This window comes from Homo sapiens, chromosome 15, assembly GCF_000001405.40.
Source record: "Homo sapiens chromosome 15, GRCh38.p14 Primary Assembly".
Lineage (NCBI taxonomy): Eukaryota > Metazoa > Chordata > Mammalia > Primates > Hominidae > Homo > Homo sapiens.
In genome coordinates, this window is record NC_000015.10 from 25,391,111 (window position 1) to 25,411,420 (window position 20,310).

The 20,310-nt window shown below is 36.9% G+C and overlaps 1 protein-coding gene and 1 long non-coding RNA gene across 50 annotated transcripts in view; one reads left to right on the top strand and one right to left on the bottom strand.

Moving 5' to 3' along the window:
- SNHG14 (small nucleolar RNA host gene 14) overlaps positions 1-20,310 on the top strand; it is a 595,855-nt gene that overhangs the window by 567,503 nt on the left and 8,042 nt on the right. The window contains exon 147 of the long non-coding RNA NR_146177.1: positions 486-681. This is a non-coding gene — a long non-coding RNA (small nucleolar RNA host gene 14). The remainder of the gene's footprint in view (positions 1-485; positions 682-20,310) is intronic.
- UBE3A (ubiquitin protein ligase E3A) overlaps positions 1-20,310 on the bottom strand; it is a 105,329-nt gene that overhangs the window by 57,383 nt on the left and 27,636 nt on the right. For 14 of the 49 annotated variants that reach the window (XM_017022548.3, XM_017022547.3, NM_001354550.2 and 11 more), the window contains 2 exons: positions 17,978-18,097; positions 14,351-14,392 (listed from right to left, as the gene is read on the bottom strand). The exons of 1 other annotated variant lie outside the window; for it this stretch is intronic. In XM_017022548.3, coding sequence (XP_016878037.1) covers positions 14,351-14,392; positions 17,978-17,997 — 62 coding nt within the window. In that variant the 5' untranslated portion in view covers positions 17,998-18,097. Of the gene's footprint in view, positions 1-2,635; positions 2,749-14,350; positions 14,393-15,956; positions 18,098-20,310 lie in introns of all 49 variants that reach the window. 34 more of the 49 variants (XM_047433008.1, XM_011521995.4, XM_047433009.1 and 31 more) reach the window with 14 other exon arrangements.

Sequence of the window (20,310 nt, forward strand, 5' to 3'; positions counted from 1 at the left end):
AAATGGTTAAAGAAAATGTGGTATACATATATAACAAAATGTTATTCAGCCTAAAAGAAAAGAAAGAAATTCTGTAATATGCTACAACACAAATGAACCTTGAGGACATTGCTATGTGAAATAGGCCAGTCAACAAAAGACAAATACTTAATGATTCCACTGACATGAAGTAGCCAAAACAGTCAAATTTTAGAGGCAAAAAGTAGAATGGCATTTGCCAAGGAATAGGAAGAAGGGGGAAAAGAAGAGTTGTTCAATGAATGTAGAGTTTCTGTTTTACAAGATGAAAAAGTTCTAGAGATCTGCTGCACAACAATGTGCACAGTTACCACAATTGTACCGTACACTTCAAATCATTAATATGGTAAAATGTGTTGTTTTTGACAATTTTTAAAACTCTACCCCATTGTTTTCTTTACCTCTTATATAAACTGATAAAAACCTGTTTTATCTTAATCAATTATTGTATGACTACTGCTCCCCAGAGAAAAAAGTGCATGTGAAATACTACTACTTATCCATCTCCTGGCTCTGAGCAGTACATGTCAGGAACAAGAGGGAATTGTAGCTGGAAGACAGTAGAAGAGCCATAGGACAAGTCTCTAAGAGAAGGAAGAAAAGGCGCAATGAAAGAAAACAAGTTTAAGATAGTAGAAAAGCATTCAAAGACGGCAACCTGAGGTAAGGTGTTTTCACTGAAGCTTTTGGGGTAAAACAGTTTTGAGTTGGCATGCCTGTAGACATGGGAAGCAGCAGTGATGCAGAGGTGAACATTACTGTAGATAAAAACGGATGGGAATTTGACTTGCTAGGGACTGAGGGGTTAATCATATAAATAAAGATGGCAGCAGATTTGGGAAAGAGTGAAGAAGAATAAGTTCAGGTAGCAGTCCTCAAAAACCGAGAAGAAACTGATAGCTCACTGAAGGCAGACAGAGGAAGACAAAACCAGAAGGCATAAGCTTCAAAGGAGCAGGGATTTTTATGCTGAGAGAGTAAAAGGAATAGTTCAAAGCAGCAGTGGAGAACACGAATAACGTTCCATGTGGGAAAAGAACATGTCCAGAGCTTACTGTACCTATAACCTAGCTTCTGTAACTGGAAATGAAGAATCTGCTCTAGTCAGGTCATCACTTTTCACTACTTATTTTACTTGGCCTTCCTAAGAAATATAGACCTTTTGGAAATTATTGACTTTTGGGTCTAGGACACTATTTCTTGGTTTCCTCCCTTCTCTCTGGCTGTTTTTCAGAGACTTCCCTTCCAAATCTAGAGACATTTGTATTCTCCAGGGATCAGCTATTAGATACTTTCCCTTTTAAATTTCCCTTTGGACAGTTTCATCTTTCAAGGATTGAGCAATAACTAAATGACTTCCAAATGTCTACTTCAGTATAAATTCTGCTTGTCAGGCTACATAAAAAGGGCTCTTCAAGGAATTATGATGTCTAAAGAAAGAGAAAGCCACGATTTCAATATCACAGAGATGACTACAGAGGAATAGCAATAAAAAGAGAGGCAACTTAGGAGAGGTGAATCACAAAAGATGACTAGGAGCTGATGACACTATGGGTGGGAAGAATGTTTCAGACAGGGGAAGAATGTTTCAGATAGAGGAAAATGAGTAAAAGCACAGGGGCCTGAAAACATGATATTATAAGACAATTCCAAGCACTTCAAGAGCCTAAAGTTCAAGAAAAGTTTCAAAAATATGAAAATGGAGAGGCAGGGAAAAGCCAGATCATGGAAGACCTCAATAGCCATGATAAGTAATTCTTTTTTTAGCCAAAAGAGGAGTAATCTAATAAAAGCTAAAGATCTTCTCCTCATAAAAATACATGCACACTTCAGGAGTGCAAATGCACTCTTCCGGAAGATTCGTAACCCACTACATTCATAAACCATTAGATAAGAACTAAAACACAAGGAGTCACTGAAGGGTTTTAAGCAGGTTAAGTGACTGACAAAATTTGCCTTTTCAATAACTGAAACCAAAGTGGGCAAAACTGGAGGCAAGCAATCCAGTTAGGTAATGACTACTGTAATAGTCCGGACAAATAATGTAGCAGTAGGAAGAAAAAAAAAGATGAAATTGACCCAGGAAATATTTAAAATAAGTAGTTTGTAAGAGGTAAATAAGCTGGAAGAGCCAGAGGTAATGGGTAGGGTTTCTGGTATGGGCAACAAGATATGCTACAAGCTGAGATGTTAGTAAAAACAAGCGTTCATCAGCATTTAGTAAGTGATTTATTTATATTATATCACTGAATACTCAATTATGTTAAGAGGCAGACAGCAGTTAAAAAACAAAGAACTCGGTGAATCAAAAAGTTCTGCTAATTTGGGGAAATAGCATCCCTTTTATTTTTGTTAATCTCTTTTGGGTTTGATCCTCATTTATAGCTGACAAGAAGTTCTATGTACTAAAGGTAAACTATTCTCATTAATGTTCCCAAAAATCTCTTGGAATAATTAAGATATAAAGAAATTCAAAATTCACATGATTATAAAAATCTTTCCTTAGATAATCTCATAATATAGCCATGTTTTGCTCATTCTACTTTGAGAAGATTCAGCCAGAAACAGTTCATCCATTCAACTATCCCTACTGTGAACTAGAAGTATGTTTCCTTACATTTGAAACAGAAGATATAGGTTTATATGATGCTTCAGGTGGTAGAAAAGCAGGGCAGACTATGACTCGTGTCACTTCCTTCCACACGTGATGCCTTTCATGGGCTCCTGTGTCTGTCAGAAGAAAGCAAAGGGCCTTAGCGTGCTCCTGGCTTTCTATATCCAAATGCATTTTTTCACACCTTCTCCCATCAGCTAACTCTACATTACTGCAATACGGAACTTCTTACTACTCAGTGGACTTGTTCTGCTGTCTTCTCTGATTCCAGGTGTTATTCTTCCTGCCTAGAACACTATGATTCTTAGCTATTCCCAAGCATCCTCAAGGTTTCAGCTTATATACCACTTTTAAGATAATTAGGTATTCTTCCTCTGTAGTCTCATACCAACCAGTACCTATTCTATTATATATAATAACTGCCTATTAATTAAATGGGAAGCTGAGGTATATGACCTAATAACTTATTTACTGTCGTATCCTCAGAACCTAGCAAATTACAGAGTCTCAACAGAGATTTTTCAATTTCTCTTCTGATACTGTCTCGATAACAGTGTCAATTAAACCTTTCTCTAATTATTTGACCTTGAAGGGAAATAGATGTCAGACTACCTCCTGGTTTCGAGTATACTGGAAGCATACAAAAGGACCTTCTCAATCTGGAGACCAAGAATATGATATGAGAACCTATAGGAGAACCACTTATTTGATTAAAGAGATTTCTTTTACTTCAGAAAATATTTCAGTATGTTACTTGACCCATAAATGCTTATAGATGTGTAAGTACACCGAAGAAGTCATATAGGAAATAAAAGCATCCAAGCTATATTTCTATGGTCTACTCTGATTAAAAAGCTCAGCTCTCCTATCAAATTCAAGATAATGCATGTGGATTATGGAGCACAGTCACTTGCTACATGGTAAATGCTCAAAAAGATGATAGGTGGTATTACCCACATTCTACAGGCTGTGTACATACTTATCAGTTTATATATATACATAAACTGATCCTAAAAAATTCTTCCTACATTTCTGCAAGATAATTAAAAAGGCAGAAACAAACATTTTGCATAAATTTACTAGCTTCATTCTTTCATGTAGGAAGTAGTTACTGACTACCTACTGTATGCCAGGCACTGTCATTAGGCTTCCATTCTAGTGGTAAAGAAGCAAAACAACAAAGAAATCAATATGCAAGAAGTCAAATGACATTAAATCCCATGAAGAAAAATGCAGCAAGTTAAGGGGAATGCAGAAGAACATGATCATTCTTTGATGCAGCCGGTCAGGAAAAGCATCATTTGAGCAGAGAGCTCTCTGAATCAAGTGAGGAAGGAAGCCACATGGATTATCACAGAGAAGGGTCACAGGGTCACAGACAATAGTTACAAGCCTTAAGATGACAAAGATACAGCCATTTTAGACAGAGATGAGCAAGTGCGGTAGAGAGATCACAGAAATGAAAGGAAGCCAGTTCACACAGGGCCATGTAAATCTCCAGATTTTACTTTTAAGATGGGAAGCCTCTGAAAAGTTCTGTGCATAGTAAATAACATGGTTTAACTCAGATTTTAAAAAGATCATTCCGGCTGCTACTAGAGAATACACTGTAAAGCACAAGACTCCTGGGAAACAATTTCTTTCTTTTGCCAAAAGATGATGCCTTTAAACAGAGTAAACAGAAGTATAATGGTTAAAAAAAATAAAATGAATTATGGGTATTTGGAAGGTGTAGCCAACAAGATTTACCAATAATTTGAGTATGTGACATAGAGAAATTAAAAGATGCTTCCAAGGCTTCTGGCTGCACAGGAGGGGAAAAAAGCTGTTATTGACTGAGATGGCAAAATATTATGAGAGACGTAGGTTTGGGATGATGAAAATCAGGAGCTCCACTTAGGACAGGTTAAGTTTGAGAACCAGACTTAACTGTTGGATAAATCAGTCTACAGTTCAGAGGGCAAGAGCTGACGATGGAAATAGAAGAGTTGTCAATAGACAGAGTCCTGGGGCATTTCTGACATTTACAGTAAACTGAGCATTTATTAAAACTAACTTGCTTTACTGAACCATAAATCACTTGTTGTATTTACCCCTGCTCCATTTATAGTTATACATCTGGAAACATAGCCTTAGTGTTAGAGGTAAAGAGTAAATACCAAACATAAAAAATCTGATCTGGTTGGGTGCGGTGGCTCAAGCCTGTAATCCCAGCGCTCTGGAAGGCCGAGGCAGGCAGATCACGAGGTCAGGAGTTCAAGACCAGCCTGGCCAATATGGTGAAACTCTGTCTCTACTAAAAATACAAAATTAGCCAGGCATGGTGGCACATGCCTGTAATCTCAGCTACTCGGGTGGCTGAGGCAGGAGAATTGCTTCATCCTGGGAGGCAGGGGTTGCAGTGAGCCAAATTGCGCCACTGCACTCCAGCCTGGGTGACAGAGCAAGATTCCATCTCAAAAAAAAAATCTGAAGTTACTGAGAAACTGGTATGAAATCATTAAGAAAACTAAGGTGTCTAAATTAATACATACAAAGAGATTCTACAACACGGTATTTATAAATTTAAACAAAATCCATGGCCAGGCACGGTGGCTCACGTCTGTAGTCCCAGCACTTTGTGAGGCCAAGGCAGAAGGATTACTTTGGGGCCAAGAGTTCAAGACCAGCCTGGGCAACATAGTGAGACCCTGTCTCTACAAAAAACAAACAAACAAACAAAAACACTGTTTTAGCCTGGCATGGTGGCACATGCCTGTAGTCCCAGCTACTCAGGAGGCTGAGGCATGAGGATCACTTGAGCCCAGGAATTCAAAGTTGTAGTGAGCTCTGATCACACCACTGCACTCTAGCTGTATCACTTATGACAGAGCAAGACAATATCTCAAACAACAAGCAAACAAAACAAAAAACTAAAGTAAATCCAGGTAAAATAAACATACGAATAAATGAAAAGATCTGGGTTATTGCATTAGTTCTGTTTCTAGGCTTAACTACAAAATGGTGTCCAGTTGTTAAAAACACTTGTTTAAGAGTATTAATAATTTTTTTTTTTACTATGCTCTTCTACATCCTAGGAAATTGGCAACACTAAGAATTCCTAAAAACAAACAGGAGTGTTAACTGTATATAAATTATTATTTAAGATGCATTCAAGGCGTTACTTAAAATATCAAATGCATGTCAAAGTACAAACAACAAAATCATGCTTCAACAAATGTGGGATGTTGCCATTAATGGACAGTTAGCTCTGAGGTAAAACCAAGAATCCTTCATTACCTATTTTTGTAAATTAGGACAAATACTATTAAGGTATTAGGTTGGTACAAAAGTAATTGAACAAACCTGGACCCACTCACCTCACTGAAAGTGCTGCCTGGCTACAGTTTCTAGATATAGGAATGTGAGAAATGGTAGCAGCCTTGAAGGTTTAGAGCTATATTCCCATACCAATTATGGCTAGAAACTTAAAACAGCTCTATTGAGACATTATGGGAAGTCTAATTTCCTGTTACTCTACTTTAACACAGCCAAGTAAAACAGTAAGAAAGCTTGCTTAATTCAACAAGGACTGAGTGCCAGAGTGTCACCTGGAAACTTGTGACAAATAATCATGCCTCACACATTCATCCTTGGTTTTTACTACCAAATGCAAGCTTCATCTATCCTCTTCCATTCTAAACTTGACTCATCCTCCTAACCTCTTCCAGAAAGATCTCTAGAAACCCAGAGGCTTTCTGAAGACCCATAGGCTATCCCCCATCTTCAACTACTTTACATAATGGCCCCTCAACTTCTTAGCTTTCATGAAAGCCTGGCTCCTCCCCAAAGGCACTGCCTATCATGCAACCCTTTTATGTGACTCCTAAAACTCCTAAGTCCACCATTATTCTTCTAATTCCCTGTATTAAAAATAAACGGCAAAATTCCCTGTATTAAAAACAACAAAAAAACAGCTTGTAATTTGAAACTCATGTCATCTAACCGAATGCCTTCTCTTTCCCTCCCTGTTCTGGTCAATTAAACCCACATATTTAAGCCTCCACTTTGCCCCCAGTTACATCATCAGCAAAGTGACTTCAATGTCCCTGTACATGGTTCTATCCCAATACTCTAGGCCCCCAAAATATTTGCCTTTCTAAATTTGAGACATCTTCACCTCCTCATTTCAGCAAATCACTCCCTTGTCTTTGTTAGACATACTAAAACCTCTGACAATGATCATCTCAGCTATCTTTGTAAGAGTTTCACTCATACTCATATCTCCTTTCACCTGTCAAGACACCAGGTTTGGTGACAAATAAAAATGATACGTATTTGGGAGGCTGAGGCAGGAGAATCATTTGAACCCAGGAAGCAGAGGATGCAGTGGCCAAGATCATGCTACTACACTCCAGCCTGGGTGACAAAGCAAGACTCTGTCTCAAAAAAAAAAAAAAAAAAAAAAAACACAAAAAACAAAAAAAAGGATACATATTTATTGTATTCACATGATGTTCCAAAATATGTATACACTGTGGAATGGCTAGATCAAGCTAATTAATACATGCAATACCTCACATACTTATATTTTATGGCAGAACATTTAAAATCTACTCTCAGTGATTTCCAAAAATACACTGTTATTAACTAGTTTCCATGTTGTACAATAGATACCTTGAACAAATTCCTCTTAATTGAAATTTTGTGTCCTCTGACCAACACCTCTGCAACCCAGTCCACTCACCCCCAGCCCCTGGTAACCACCATTTTACATCCCTGAGTTAAGATTCCACATTTAAGAGAGATGTAGTATTTGCCTTTCTGTGGCTGGCTTACTTTCAACAATGCCCTCCAGGTTCATCCCTGCTGTCACAAATGACAGCATTTCCTCCTTTTTATGGCTGAAGTATATTCCACTGTGTATACATACCACATTTTCTTTATCCATGAACACTTAGGCTGATGCTGTATCATGGGTATTGCAAATGATACCGAAAGGAACATGGGAGTACAGATCTCTTCAGCGCACTGATTTTATTCTTTTATTTATATATATATATATATATATATATATATATATATATATATATAAAAATACATATATATCCAAGTGTGACTGCTGAATCATATGGTAGTTCTATTTTTTAATTTCTGAGCAAACGTCATGCTATTTTCCATAAATGCTGTACTAATTTACATTCCTGCCATGCGCAATATATCTCTTGTCTGCAAATCCTCATCATACTTTAATAGCCATTCTAATGGCCATTTGTATGTCTTATTTTGAGAAATGTCTATTCAAGTCCTTTGCCCATTTCTTAAGTGAGGTGCTTTCTTACTATTGAGATGTCTGAGTTCCTTATATATTTTGCATATTAACCCCTTACCAGATATATGGTTTGGAAATACTATCTTCCATTCTGTGAGTTTTTTCATTCTGTAGATTTTTTCTTTTTGCCATGCAGAAGCTTTTTAGTTTGATGTGATCTCATTCATCAATTTTTATTTTTGTTGCCTGTGCTTCGAGGGGGTCATATCCAAAAAAATCACTGTCCAAACCAATGTCATGTACATTTCTCCTATACTTTATTCTGGTAGTTCTACAGTTTCAGGTCTTATATTTAAGACCTTAATCCATTTTAACTTGAATTTGGTATATGATGTGAGATACAGGTCTGATTTCATTCTCATGCATGTAGATATTCCATTTTCCCAACACCACCTATTGAACAGACTTCCCTTTCCCCGCTGTGTTCTTTGCACCCTGTCCAAAATCAACTGATAGTACACGAATTTATTTCTGTGCTCTCCATTCTGTTTTGTGGGTCGATGTGTCTGTTTTTTTGTTTCTTTTGTTTTTAAAAGACAGGGTCTCACGCTGTCATCCAGGCTGGAGTGCAGTGATGCAATCACAGTTCACTGCCACCTTAAGCTCCTGAGCTCAAGCAATCCTCCTTCTTCAGCCTCTCGGGTAGCTAGGACTACAGATACACAGCACCGCGCCTGGCTTTAAAAATTTTTTTTTTTTTTAATTTTAGAGACAGGGTCTCACTATGTTGCCCAGGCTGCTCTCGAACTCCTGGTTTCAAGTAATCCTTCTGCCTCAGTCTCCCAGAGTGTGGGAATACACGTGTGAGCAACTGTGCCTGGCCTGTCTACTTCTATGTGACTATCATGCTGTTATAATTACTGTAGCTTTGAACTATATTTTGAAATCAGATAGTGTGATGTCTCCAGCTTTGTTCTTTTCACTCATGACAGCTTTGGCTATTTAGGATCTTATGTGGTTCCATATAAATTTTAGCACTGTTTTCTAGTTCTGTGAAATTTAACATTGGAATTTTGATCAGGATTGCATTAAAACTGCAGATTGCTTTGGATAATAAAAACATTTTACAATATTAATTCTTCCAATCCATAAACACAAGATAACTTTCCATTATTTGTATCATCTTCAATTTCTTTAATCAATGTTACATAGTTTTCAACTCTTTGGTTAAAGTTATTTCTAAGTACAATCATCCCTCGGTATCTGCAGGATATTGGTTCCAGGATCTCCTGTAGATACCAAAATCCATGGATGCTCAAGTCCATTATATAAAATGGTATAGTATTTGCATACAACCTACACACATCCTCGTGTATACTTTAAATCATTACTTAGTACCTAATACAACGTAAATGCTATGTAAATAGTTGCTATACTGTAGTTTCCTTATTGTATAAGAAAACAGTATTTTTATTGTTGTATTTTTTTCTCAAATATTTTCATCCAAATGTTGGTTCAATTTGCAAATGCAGAACCACTGATACTGGGAGCCACTGCATGTTTTGTTTTTGGTACCTATTATACATGGAATTGTCTTCTTGATTTTTCTTTTAGATAATTTGTCATTAATGTACAGAAATTCTACGGATTTTTGTATCTTGATTTTATATCTTACAACTTTACTGAATTTATCAGTTCTAACAATTCTCTGGTGGAGTCTTTAGGTTTTTCTATATACAAGATCATGTCATCTTCAAACAGGGACAACAATGTCTTCCTTTCCTACTGGGATGCCTTTTCTTTCTCTTGCCTAATTGCTCTTGCAAGGACTTCCGGTACTGTGCTGAATAGAAATGGCAAAAGTGGGCATTCTCGTTTTCTTCCTGATCTCAAAAGAAAAGCTTTTAACTTTTCAACATTCAGTATAACGTTAGCAGTGTGTTTGTCAATATGGCCTTTATTTTATAGAGGTACATTCCTTCTATACTTAATTTTTTAAAATTTTGTAGCACAAGAGAATACTGAATTCTGTCAAATGCTTTTTCTCAATTATCTCAATTATCTATTGAAATGATAACATGGTTTTGGCCTTTGTTCTCCTAATGTTGTATATCACATTTTATGGATTCAGGTCTGTTGGATAATCCTTGTACCCTTGAGGTAAATCCCATATGATCACAGTAAATGATCCTTCTAATACACTGTTGAATTTAGTTATTATTTTCTTCAGAATTTCTGCATCTAAATTAAGAATACGGGTCTGTAATTTTCTTTTCCTGGAGAGTTCTTGTCTGGCTTTGGTATCTAGGTAATGCTCATCTCCCAAAATGAGTTTGAAATTACTCCCTCTTCTTAAATTTCTCATAAAATTATGAGAACAATCTGTACTAGTTCTTCTTTAAATGTCTGCTAGAATTCAGCAGTAAAGTCACCAAGTCTTGGGCTTCCTTTGGTGGGAGATATTTTTATGACTGATACAATCCTTGTCACTGGACTGTTCACATTTTTCATTTCATGATTAAGCTTGGACAAGTTGCATGTGTCTAGGAATTTATCCATTTCTTCTATGGTAATCAATTTGTTGGCATATAATTGTTCAGTCTCTTATGATCCTCTTATTTCTTGTACTTCTCTGGTATCAGCTGCAATGGTTCCTCTTTCATTTCTGATTTAACTTGAGTCATCTCTTTTTTTCTTAGTCTAGCTAAAGACTTGTTGCTTTTATCATCAAAAAACACAACTCTTTATTTTTTTTATCTTGAGTCATCTCTTTTTTCCTTAGTCTAGCCAAATAACCTGTCTTTTGAGTTCAGATTCTTTTGTCTGCTTGCTCAATTCTGCTTTTAATGCTCTTTTGCATTTTTCATTCCATTTATTGCATTTTCAGCTTCAGAATTTGTTAAAAAATAATTTCAATCTCAAAATTTCTCATTTTGATTGCTGTTTTCCTGATTTTGTTGAATTGTTTATCTGCATTTTCTTGAAATTCATTGAGCTTCCTTAAACAATTACTTTGAATTCTTTGTCAGGCAGTTCATATATCTCCATTTCTTTATGGTTGGTTCAGGTGCCTTATTGTGTTCCTTTGACTGGTGTCACGTTTCCCTGACTGTTCTTGATCCCTGTAGTCATGTGTTGGCACCTGCACATTTGAAGAAGCTGAGACTTGTTCCAGTCTTTGCAGAGTGACTTTATTGGGTAAAGCCCTTCACCAGTCAGCCTGTCCAGAGATTATGCAGCCTGAGTCTACCGGGGCTGGCCTGGAGTCTGGGTCAGCAGGGTAGGTCCTGGAGCCTTGGTACACAGGTGCTGCTGGCCTGGCATCCTGGTCTACTAGAGTGAGCCTGAACCTTGGATCTGCAAGGACCAGTGTGAAGGCTGGGTAGGTGGATGTTGGCCTAGAATTTGGATCACAAGGGGCTGGCCAAGTACTGGGTTTGGACCCTTGTTCTGCAGTGATGTGAGGCCACAGGGGCCGATCTAGAGGGCAGGGCTGCAGGGACCACCCTAGCACTAGACAGGCTTAGAGCCTAGGGCTGTGGGATCCAGCTTGGTGCTGGGGTGGGCCTCCAAGCTTGGTTTGTGGGTATTGGCCTGAAGTTTGGGGCCATGGGGGCCTGCCTAGCATTGAGTTTTACTGGGGCGAGCTCAATGTTAGGGTCTAAGTCTGGTGTACACTTCCCCTCCTTCCCCCAGGTGAACAGTCTCTCTCTCCATGCTGGGATCTCAGGGACTGAGGGAGGTGTGACACAAGTAATGTAAAACTGTCCTTCTTACCCTTTTCAATGTGTCTTTTCTTATCTGTGTGCCACATTCAGGTAATCTCTCGTCTGGTTTCTTAGCTCTTATATTTTTGTGTGTAGACAGTTGTTCAAATTGATGGTTCTACAATGAGATGAGTGCTGCAAAGTGCTAGTCTGCCATCTTGCTGTTATCTAGACCTCAGGCTTTTCTTAAAACAACTCAACACTTTGGTCTGGCATCCCAACCTTTCCAATCATGGCCATCATCCACAGCATATAAATTCAAATACTCCAATGTTAACATCTTATGCACATGCCACTAATGATTCTGTTCCATCAGCTCTGCTAATATCCAACCCTAAAATACCATGCATAATCTTCTGGCTATTGGAGAAAAGTCTTTAAATTTCAAATGTGATAAAGTCTTTAATCTTAACTAGTCACTCAGTGGAATGAGATTCTCCTACTCTGATACGGTTTCTGATTTCAGGTAGCCAGCCAGTCAAGACTCTCAACTTCTGATCCACTTCTTCACCCATTCCCCTCAGTAGCTTCCTAAGTTTTCAGTCTTCTCAAAACCTCTAAACAAACCTTGTATTCCACAAAATATTATTAAAAAATGTTTCATAAAAAGTTTCGTGGTCACTAACCTACAGTAACATACTACCTTATATCCACTACAATGACTACTATTGAAGTACACACACACACACACTCTCACACAATATGTGATGGCAAGGATGTAGAGAAACTGGACCCCTTGTGCACTAGTGGTAGAAACGCAAATAGGTACAGTTGCTCTGGAAGAGTATGGCAGTTTCTCAAAATTTTAAAAATAAAATTACCATATGATCCAACAATTCCACTTCTGGGAAAACAATTCAAAGCAGGGTCTCAAAAAGATATTTGTACACTCCTGTTCATAGCAACATTATCTGTAATAGCTACAACATGGAAGCAACCTGAGCGCTCATCAACAGGTAAATGGATAAGCAAAATGTGGTATATACATACAATAAAACATTATTCAGCCTGAAAAAGGATGCAAATTTTGAAACATGCTAAAGATGGATGAAACTTGATGACACTGCGAAGTAAAATAAGCCAATCATAAAAGGGCAAAAACTGTATGATTGCACTTATAGGGGGTACTTAGAGCAGTCAAAATTAGACACAAAGTAGAATAATGGTTGTCAGAGGCTGTGAAGATAAGGAAATGAGGAATTATTGTTTAATGGGTACAGAGTTTCAGTTCTGCAAAACAGAGAGTTCTGATCGTGACTGTGCAACAATATTAATATACTTAATACCATTGAGCCAAATACTTAAAAATGGTGAAATGGAAAATTTTACATTATGTGTATTTTACTACAATTTTTTAAAGCTTAAAAGACAAGTCACATGGTTGGGTCACATAAATTTGAGAAATACATTTTATAGTCGTTTCTTGCAGATTCACAATATATACCGGCATTTAAATAAGGTTCCAATATTTTCAGTAAAAAAATCTTGATTTTTCCACCCTCACCCACAATTACAATTAATATCACACATCCATCTTTACTTCCTTGTTCTAATTTCATTAGATGGGCATCTTTCCTCTTATTCAAGGTCAATCACTATATCTGCATTTTTCTTTTTTTATATTACCTGTATGAGAGATACACCTGTATTTTTCATTCCAACCCTTAATACCTCGAAAAACTTTGCTTTGATAATTACTACCTCTATTATCTGAAACATCTTTAGTCTTCACAATAAATCACTAAAGTCTTACTTACTTCATGTCCTAAATATTTGTCTTAAATCCAGAAAAATTTATTTTGAATTCCTATTATACCACTGTCATTGTCAAGGCTCTCACTGACTGAACTACCTTACCACCACACGTTTCTCTTCAATCCTTTCTCTCTTGCAAGGTTATTAAAAATACACGTTTGACAAACTTACTATCTACCTACTGAGCAAATTCTTTGCTGACTCCCTAATACCTTCTATCACATCTTATCTTCTTCATTTTCCTACCTCTCAGCTAGTTTATGATCTAAAAGTCCTCAACTGCCTATTGTCCCCTACTCCCTATGCTGCTTCTAACTTTGGCTCATACTTCTGCCTGGAATAAGCCGCTCATGCTTCTAGCTGCCTGATTCCCAGTCACATTTCAAGACTGAACTTAGCATTTCCTGGCCACTCTTACTTCCCTGCCATCTACACTAGATTCCTATTGCATACCTGGGTACTCCAGTACTCCTTCATGTTACTATTGTATTTTGGATACCATTCTACCTCAGTGACTGAAATTATTTGCTTCTGCATCTTTCACTCTTGAGTATAATATAAATTTCTGTAGGGTGAAAACTAATTATTACGCATCTCTGTATCTATAACATAGTACTTGATGCCTTAAATATGGTAGGCGTTGAGACTGTTAAACTCAACTCTTTCCTCAACCTCCCTATTTCCCTACAACTGCTACCAGGGAAGCAAAAAGACTAAGAATTTAGGCGTGTGCATTTATCTATCTAGTAGTAGAAACCTAGTAAACTGTTACCGAGGTTTAGAGTTATCTGATAGGAAAAAAAGTAGGTATGTTCCTATCTCCCATTTACTGCTAAATGATTCCTTTCTTTTAACCAGAAATTATTTCCAAATAATGTGACGTAATTTAAAGCAGTCTAGGGCAACTCAAAATAAGAACCACAGTCTCAACCAAGTTACACTTACATTCGGCTAGCTTCAATGTCGTCAGACTGAGGTTCTCCTGATCTGTAAAATGCAATTGAGAAACAGTTAGCAAAATATTCCATATTCCAAAAAAAAAGGTAGACATATTACTTAGGAAGACAATTTTGTAAACAAGATTTAAGCACTAAATAAAACAGTTTTAAAATTAAAGATGTCAACATGAAAGAAAGTGGTCAGATCAGGTGGCCATACAACACATTTATTTTAAGGGTTGGACTATTAAAAAACTCAATGCATGTTTTTTAAAGGAAACTGTAAACGCTATACATAGATACCAACAGACAAGCCATTATAAGCCATAATTATTCACAAAGTCAAATACGTGTAATAAAACACACAACTAAAAAACTTCCTATAGCCAAGTATTGGTTATCCACATTAACAAAGGTACTCACTGGTATTCACTCACAGTATTAAACTTTAGATTAGTGGCTCAGTAAACTACTCCCTAGGCAGACAGACTAAAGCTTAGGCCAGCCATGTAGTTTTGTAAATGAAGTTTTATTGGGATGCAGCCATACTCATTCATTTAGGTATCATCTATGGCTGCTTTCACACTAAAAGAACAGAGCTGAGGACTTGTGGCAGAAACCACATGGCCCATAAAGCCTAAAATATTTATTTTCTGGCCCTTTAAGAACAAATGTGCCAACCGCTACCGCTACTCCAGACAATTCAAACTAAAATCTAATACCTTGGTAAGTTTAAAGACACTTAAATCAGATACAACATTCTAATGATGATTATCTTGGTTCAACAATGAAACTGTTTCCCTAAAAATACACTTACTGTATGTATTACCTGTCAAAAGTGTATCACCTGAGGTGAAGTTTTGCACTGGATAGCTGTGAATTAACTTCAGTTTTAAACAGTTGCCAGTTACTTTGTTATTTCTAAATATACTACTGCTCTCTCATGTAGAAATATTTAAAATTCTAAGTCACTAAAAAGCCTTTCATTTTCATTTCACGAGATATGAATCAGTATTTCCCTATCTATTCACTTTTATAAACAGCATCAGCAACAATGAATGAGTCAATATAATATTGATTTCTAACACTTAGAAATTCCCAAACTAGATAAAAAATGTTTTTTGAGGTCAAAAGCTAAATTTTCAAATTGGCATTACAAAGTCCTGATTTGTGAACTTCTCACTGACTTTAGGCTTCCAACTTTAAGCAACTCTAACAAGAATCTTAAAATCAGTCACACACACACACACACACACACACACGCACACACACAAACCTGTTTTCTAAATTTCTTAGCTAAAAACAAAAACAAAAACAAAAAACAACCCCTCACTTCTTTATCAGACTCTCAAAATTACCCTCACTGCAATTCATTCAGATTCCAAGGACAAGAATGGAAAAGGAAAAAAAAAAAAAAAAAAGACTCCAGCAGCTCAAATATTTATTTTAGATCTTCTTTGCAATGTATTTAAATTTTCAATTTTGCACAAAATTACATAACAACTAAAAACTGGGGCATGCTGGAGGTGGCAGTGACTTGGCTGTGACACAAATGCAAAAATTTCACTCCACCCTCTCCCCCAGGGAGCAAGCAAATCACCTATGTGACACACCTGGTCTCCACCAGCCTTGTGGGTAAGTACCCCAAGATTGCTTCCAAACTTGTATCTCCCAGACAGAAGAGCTAAAAATTGATGATAACCCCATGTACCAGCTGACTCATTTTTGAAAGTGCGACCCTCCAGCATCAGATGTCATACTGTAAGGAGGCAGAGCTGGCTTGCAAAACAAAAAATAAACCTGCTGGCACTGAGGGAAGAGAGGCAGATTAGAAGTTTTCAAACACGTAGGCAGCAAAACTTTCAAAATTAACAGGGAAAGAGAAGAGAGGGAAAAAATGAGGACATGATGATAGGAAAATAAAAATATTACTGCAAAAAGGTAAGACACAAGAAGAAAAACAAATCTAAGTCTTAGAAGTACAATATGTAACTGTTACAAAGTTTTGAGATCCTGAAATGGGATAGAGTTTAAATACATTATCAAATGATAACTACATCTATCTTCCCAATTTCTGTTCCCTAAGCAAGAGAATATGTGAACTTTGGCATCAAAATGTTTGCCACCAAACTGTAACATATTAATTACTACTTTTTACATATATTAAAGTAGGCTATTAAAAACCATTGATAAGACAAGCTAAGTAATTTAAACCAATCCAGTATAGAAGAAGAAGGATTGAAAGATTATTACCTTAAAATAAATCTGTCCTGGGTCTATTAAACATAGCAAAGTTGTTCTACTCAAATTGGAAATTGTTTTTTAATCAAGAGAAAAATGAATATATGCAGAACTAGCAGACATTTTTCTTGCAGTAATTTATAATAGTTTCTGTCTGAATGAATTTCTACTCATCCTAATAACAGTATATTTCTAGAATATTATAAATAAGTTACCAAAGTCCCGAGGTTAGAATTCAAACTCTCAAAACTATGACATATGCCAGGTGTGGTAGTTCATGTCTGTAATCTCAGCACTTTGGGAGGTCAAGACATAAGGACCACTTGAGCTCAGGAGTTCAAGGTCAACCTGGGCAACATGATGAAACCTCGTCTCTTAGCCGGGTGTGGTGGTGGGTGCCTTTAGTCCCAGCAACTTGGGAGGCTGAGGTGGGAGGGTCACTTGAGCCCAGAAGGTCAAAGTTGCAGTGAACTGTGATCGTGCCACTGCACTCCAGCCTGGGCGATGGAGTGAGACCTTGTCTTGGAAACAAACATAAACTATGAAATATATACCACCTAGCAACAGTTCCCAAGCTTGACTTTGGCTCCTAAAGAGTCTACTTATTCTTTTACTGCCAAGTTGCTGGAAGTAAGAATCCTGTATGTGCTTGTAAATGCAGAACATATAACCTAATTCAAAACATATAACCAAAGGGAAATTTTTGTATTAAACTATTGACTTAGGTTATCCTAAAGTGTGTCAGAATAACAAGTCAGAAATTTTAAAACTGAAACAATAACCAAATAACATTGGATAATAAAATGTAAATCTCAGAATGAGAATCAATTTTAGGTCTTGATTTGAATCGCAGAAAATATGATCACAAAACACCCACTAATCTGAATACTGCAGCATGAGCTAGCAAATTCAAATGGTGGCTCACTTCCAATAACACTGGTGCAGCTTCTCCATCCTGCAAGCCACTCCTTTTACCTCCACTGTAACTCTCTAGGAGAGAAAAGTATACTAGTTTTATTAATGTTATAAAAACTTCTAGAGAAATGTTTAGTTAAAACGTTCACCACATAAAAGGCATACTTTAAAATGCATATTAAGAAATTTTTAATGTTTTCTATAATGTTTATAGTAAAATGTTTAAAACCTTGAAGTTTTTTTGAGAAATACTTTCCTGTTTATACATACAGATAGGTCTTTGATAGTGGCTACTGATATTTTTAATGAGAAAAAAAGACACTAAAATATTTTAAGGAGATTAAATGAAGTAGGTCAACTCTCAGGCCCACTATTCTTAGCAGTATTCCTGCCAACTATACATTGTCTTCATTTTTACAGTATGTATTTCACTTTACAATGACAGCCTTTTAAAGGCTGTAAAATAATTCAAAATTACCTTTTACAAGCTGTGGCCATTCGGTGACATCAGGGTGATCACAGCTTTGAGTCACTGATTAAAAACAGGTTGTCACACCAGTCTAGCTGCTACCTTGATCTGAGCGTAGGCTTAATAACTCTAATAAATTAAACAAACCTTTGGTTAGAACACTTTAATATATAAACCCAATTCATTGTTCAAAAAATAATATTCAAAGCTTCAAATTAGGTGTCAATGTAAAATTCATCAGAAGAGTAATTATTATAGAAAAGTTTTTAAGGACTATTTTCCAGCATTTTGTTTTTCTTAAATGATCTCTTCATTTGAGAAAATGTAATAATTCCTTGTACTTTTATGTAATGTTATAGTTTCTGAAGCATTTTGGTCAATAGTACCTTGAGTCTTATAACAACTTTGGCTTTACCTAATCAAGACAGATAATATACTAAGAATTAAAAAAAAAAAAAATTAAGCAGCCTCCGAGTGATTAACTGACTTGCCCAAGATTTTGGAACTAGTGTTGAAGGACTGACTAAAACCCAGATATACTGACTTCCTATCAAGGGATGGATTTTTTTGTTTGTTTTGGCTTAGTTTTGCTATACTGGGTTTCAAGATTTAAGTATATGTAAATGAGTAAAGATTCAGAACACAGATTGAGATCTTTCAAATACGGACAAATTCAGTCAAAAGATTCCTAAGCTGATAGAGCAATCAGTCACCAAGGAGGGCAACTGCTTAATGGAATAGTTATATACATACACATAAACACACACACATAAACACAAAGTCTAGTCCCACTAATTCTGTATGTACGTAAAGTCATTTAACATCAGTCACCGCATGTTCTCACTCACAGGTGGGAACTGAACAATGAGAACACATGGACACAGGAAGGGGAACATCACACTCTGGGGACTGTTGTGGGGTGGGGGGAAGGGGAGGGATAGCATTAGGAAATATACCTAATGCTAAATGACGAGTTAATGGGTGCAGCACACCAGCATGGCACATGTATACATATGTAACTAACCTGCACATTGTGCACATGTACCCTAAAACTTAAAGTATAATAATAATAAAAAACATCAGTCAAAACCCCTTAAGTACTGCATAAAAATATATTCTACTCTTTCTTGGCCATAAATCTACTAAGATTTAATTTCATGAAAAAGTATGGCAAAAGATGAAAGCATATCCTCCTCCCTCAACCAAATATCTTTTTAACCCCTTACATGGCCTTAGCTGAACTTTTCTGATTGTCACAGTTCAAATTTAGCAGGCCTCTTTACTGACACTGTAGTTCTGGCAAAGATACCATACATCTGAAATATCCCAGTATCAAAAGATCATTTTGTGCAACTAGTTCTTTCCCCTCACGATTCCCCTATCCAGGCCAAATCTGAGGCATCAACTACGGAAAGATGAGGAAATTAGGAGGAAGAAACCTTTCATAATTAACATCCTCAAAGCAACAATAGTCAAGCGTAAAAGGTGGTTACCAGTGTGGATTCAGAACCCAATATAAAACAGCAAGGTATCTGCGAATACCAACGGTTAAAACATGAATGTTTGAGCCCATACCTATGCAGCTATGAACGCAGGGCTTCAAAATCCAGATTAGGTGAGGATTGGCCTGAATATATAAAAATAATTGCAGGGGATTCCAATAAATGGGATTTATAGTATCTGTAAGAAATAACGCAATCTCCCAGATACTCCTATCCTAACTATACATTGCCTAATAAGAACTTAGACATTGCTGAGGTCATATGGGAAACACCACCTTCCCTAAAATAAACAATGTGGTCATGATACAGCTTCCCCTTGGGTTCTCAAGAGACTAATGGTATGTGGAATTAGAAGATTCAAACAAGTCTAACTTTCCATCTTGTAAACACAAAAATAATAAAGTTAAAATATCTTTTAATTGACTAATTGACCTCAATGTAATTAAAGAGCTATATGTATTTTGAAAACTAGAGTCAAGTCCTCTCTTCCAGTCCCCTCTTTTATGAGATCCGGTGCTCAAAAGGCTCCAAGGCCAGGCTGGACTTATGTCTCTGTTTGGTCATTCACTAGCTGAGAAATCTTGGGCAAGTTACTTAACCTCTCCGAGTCTCAGTTTCCTTATAGGTAGAACTAGGATAATAGTACCTATTCCATAGAGCTGTCATGGATAAACAAGCTAACATCTAAGTATCTCAGAACAGTGCCTGACATAATGTGCTCACAAATGGCTGGGCGTGGTGGCTAACGCCTGTAATCCCAGCACTTTGGGAGGCCAAGGCGGGTGGATCACTTGAGGCCAGGAGTTCGAGACTAGCCTGGCCAACACGGTGAAACCCCGT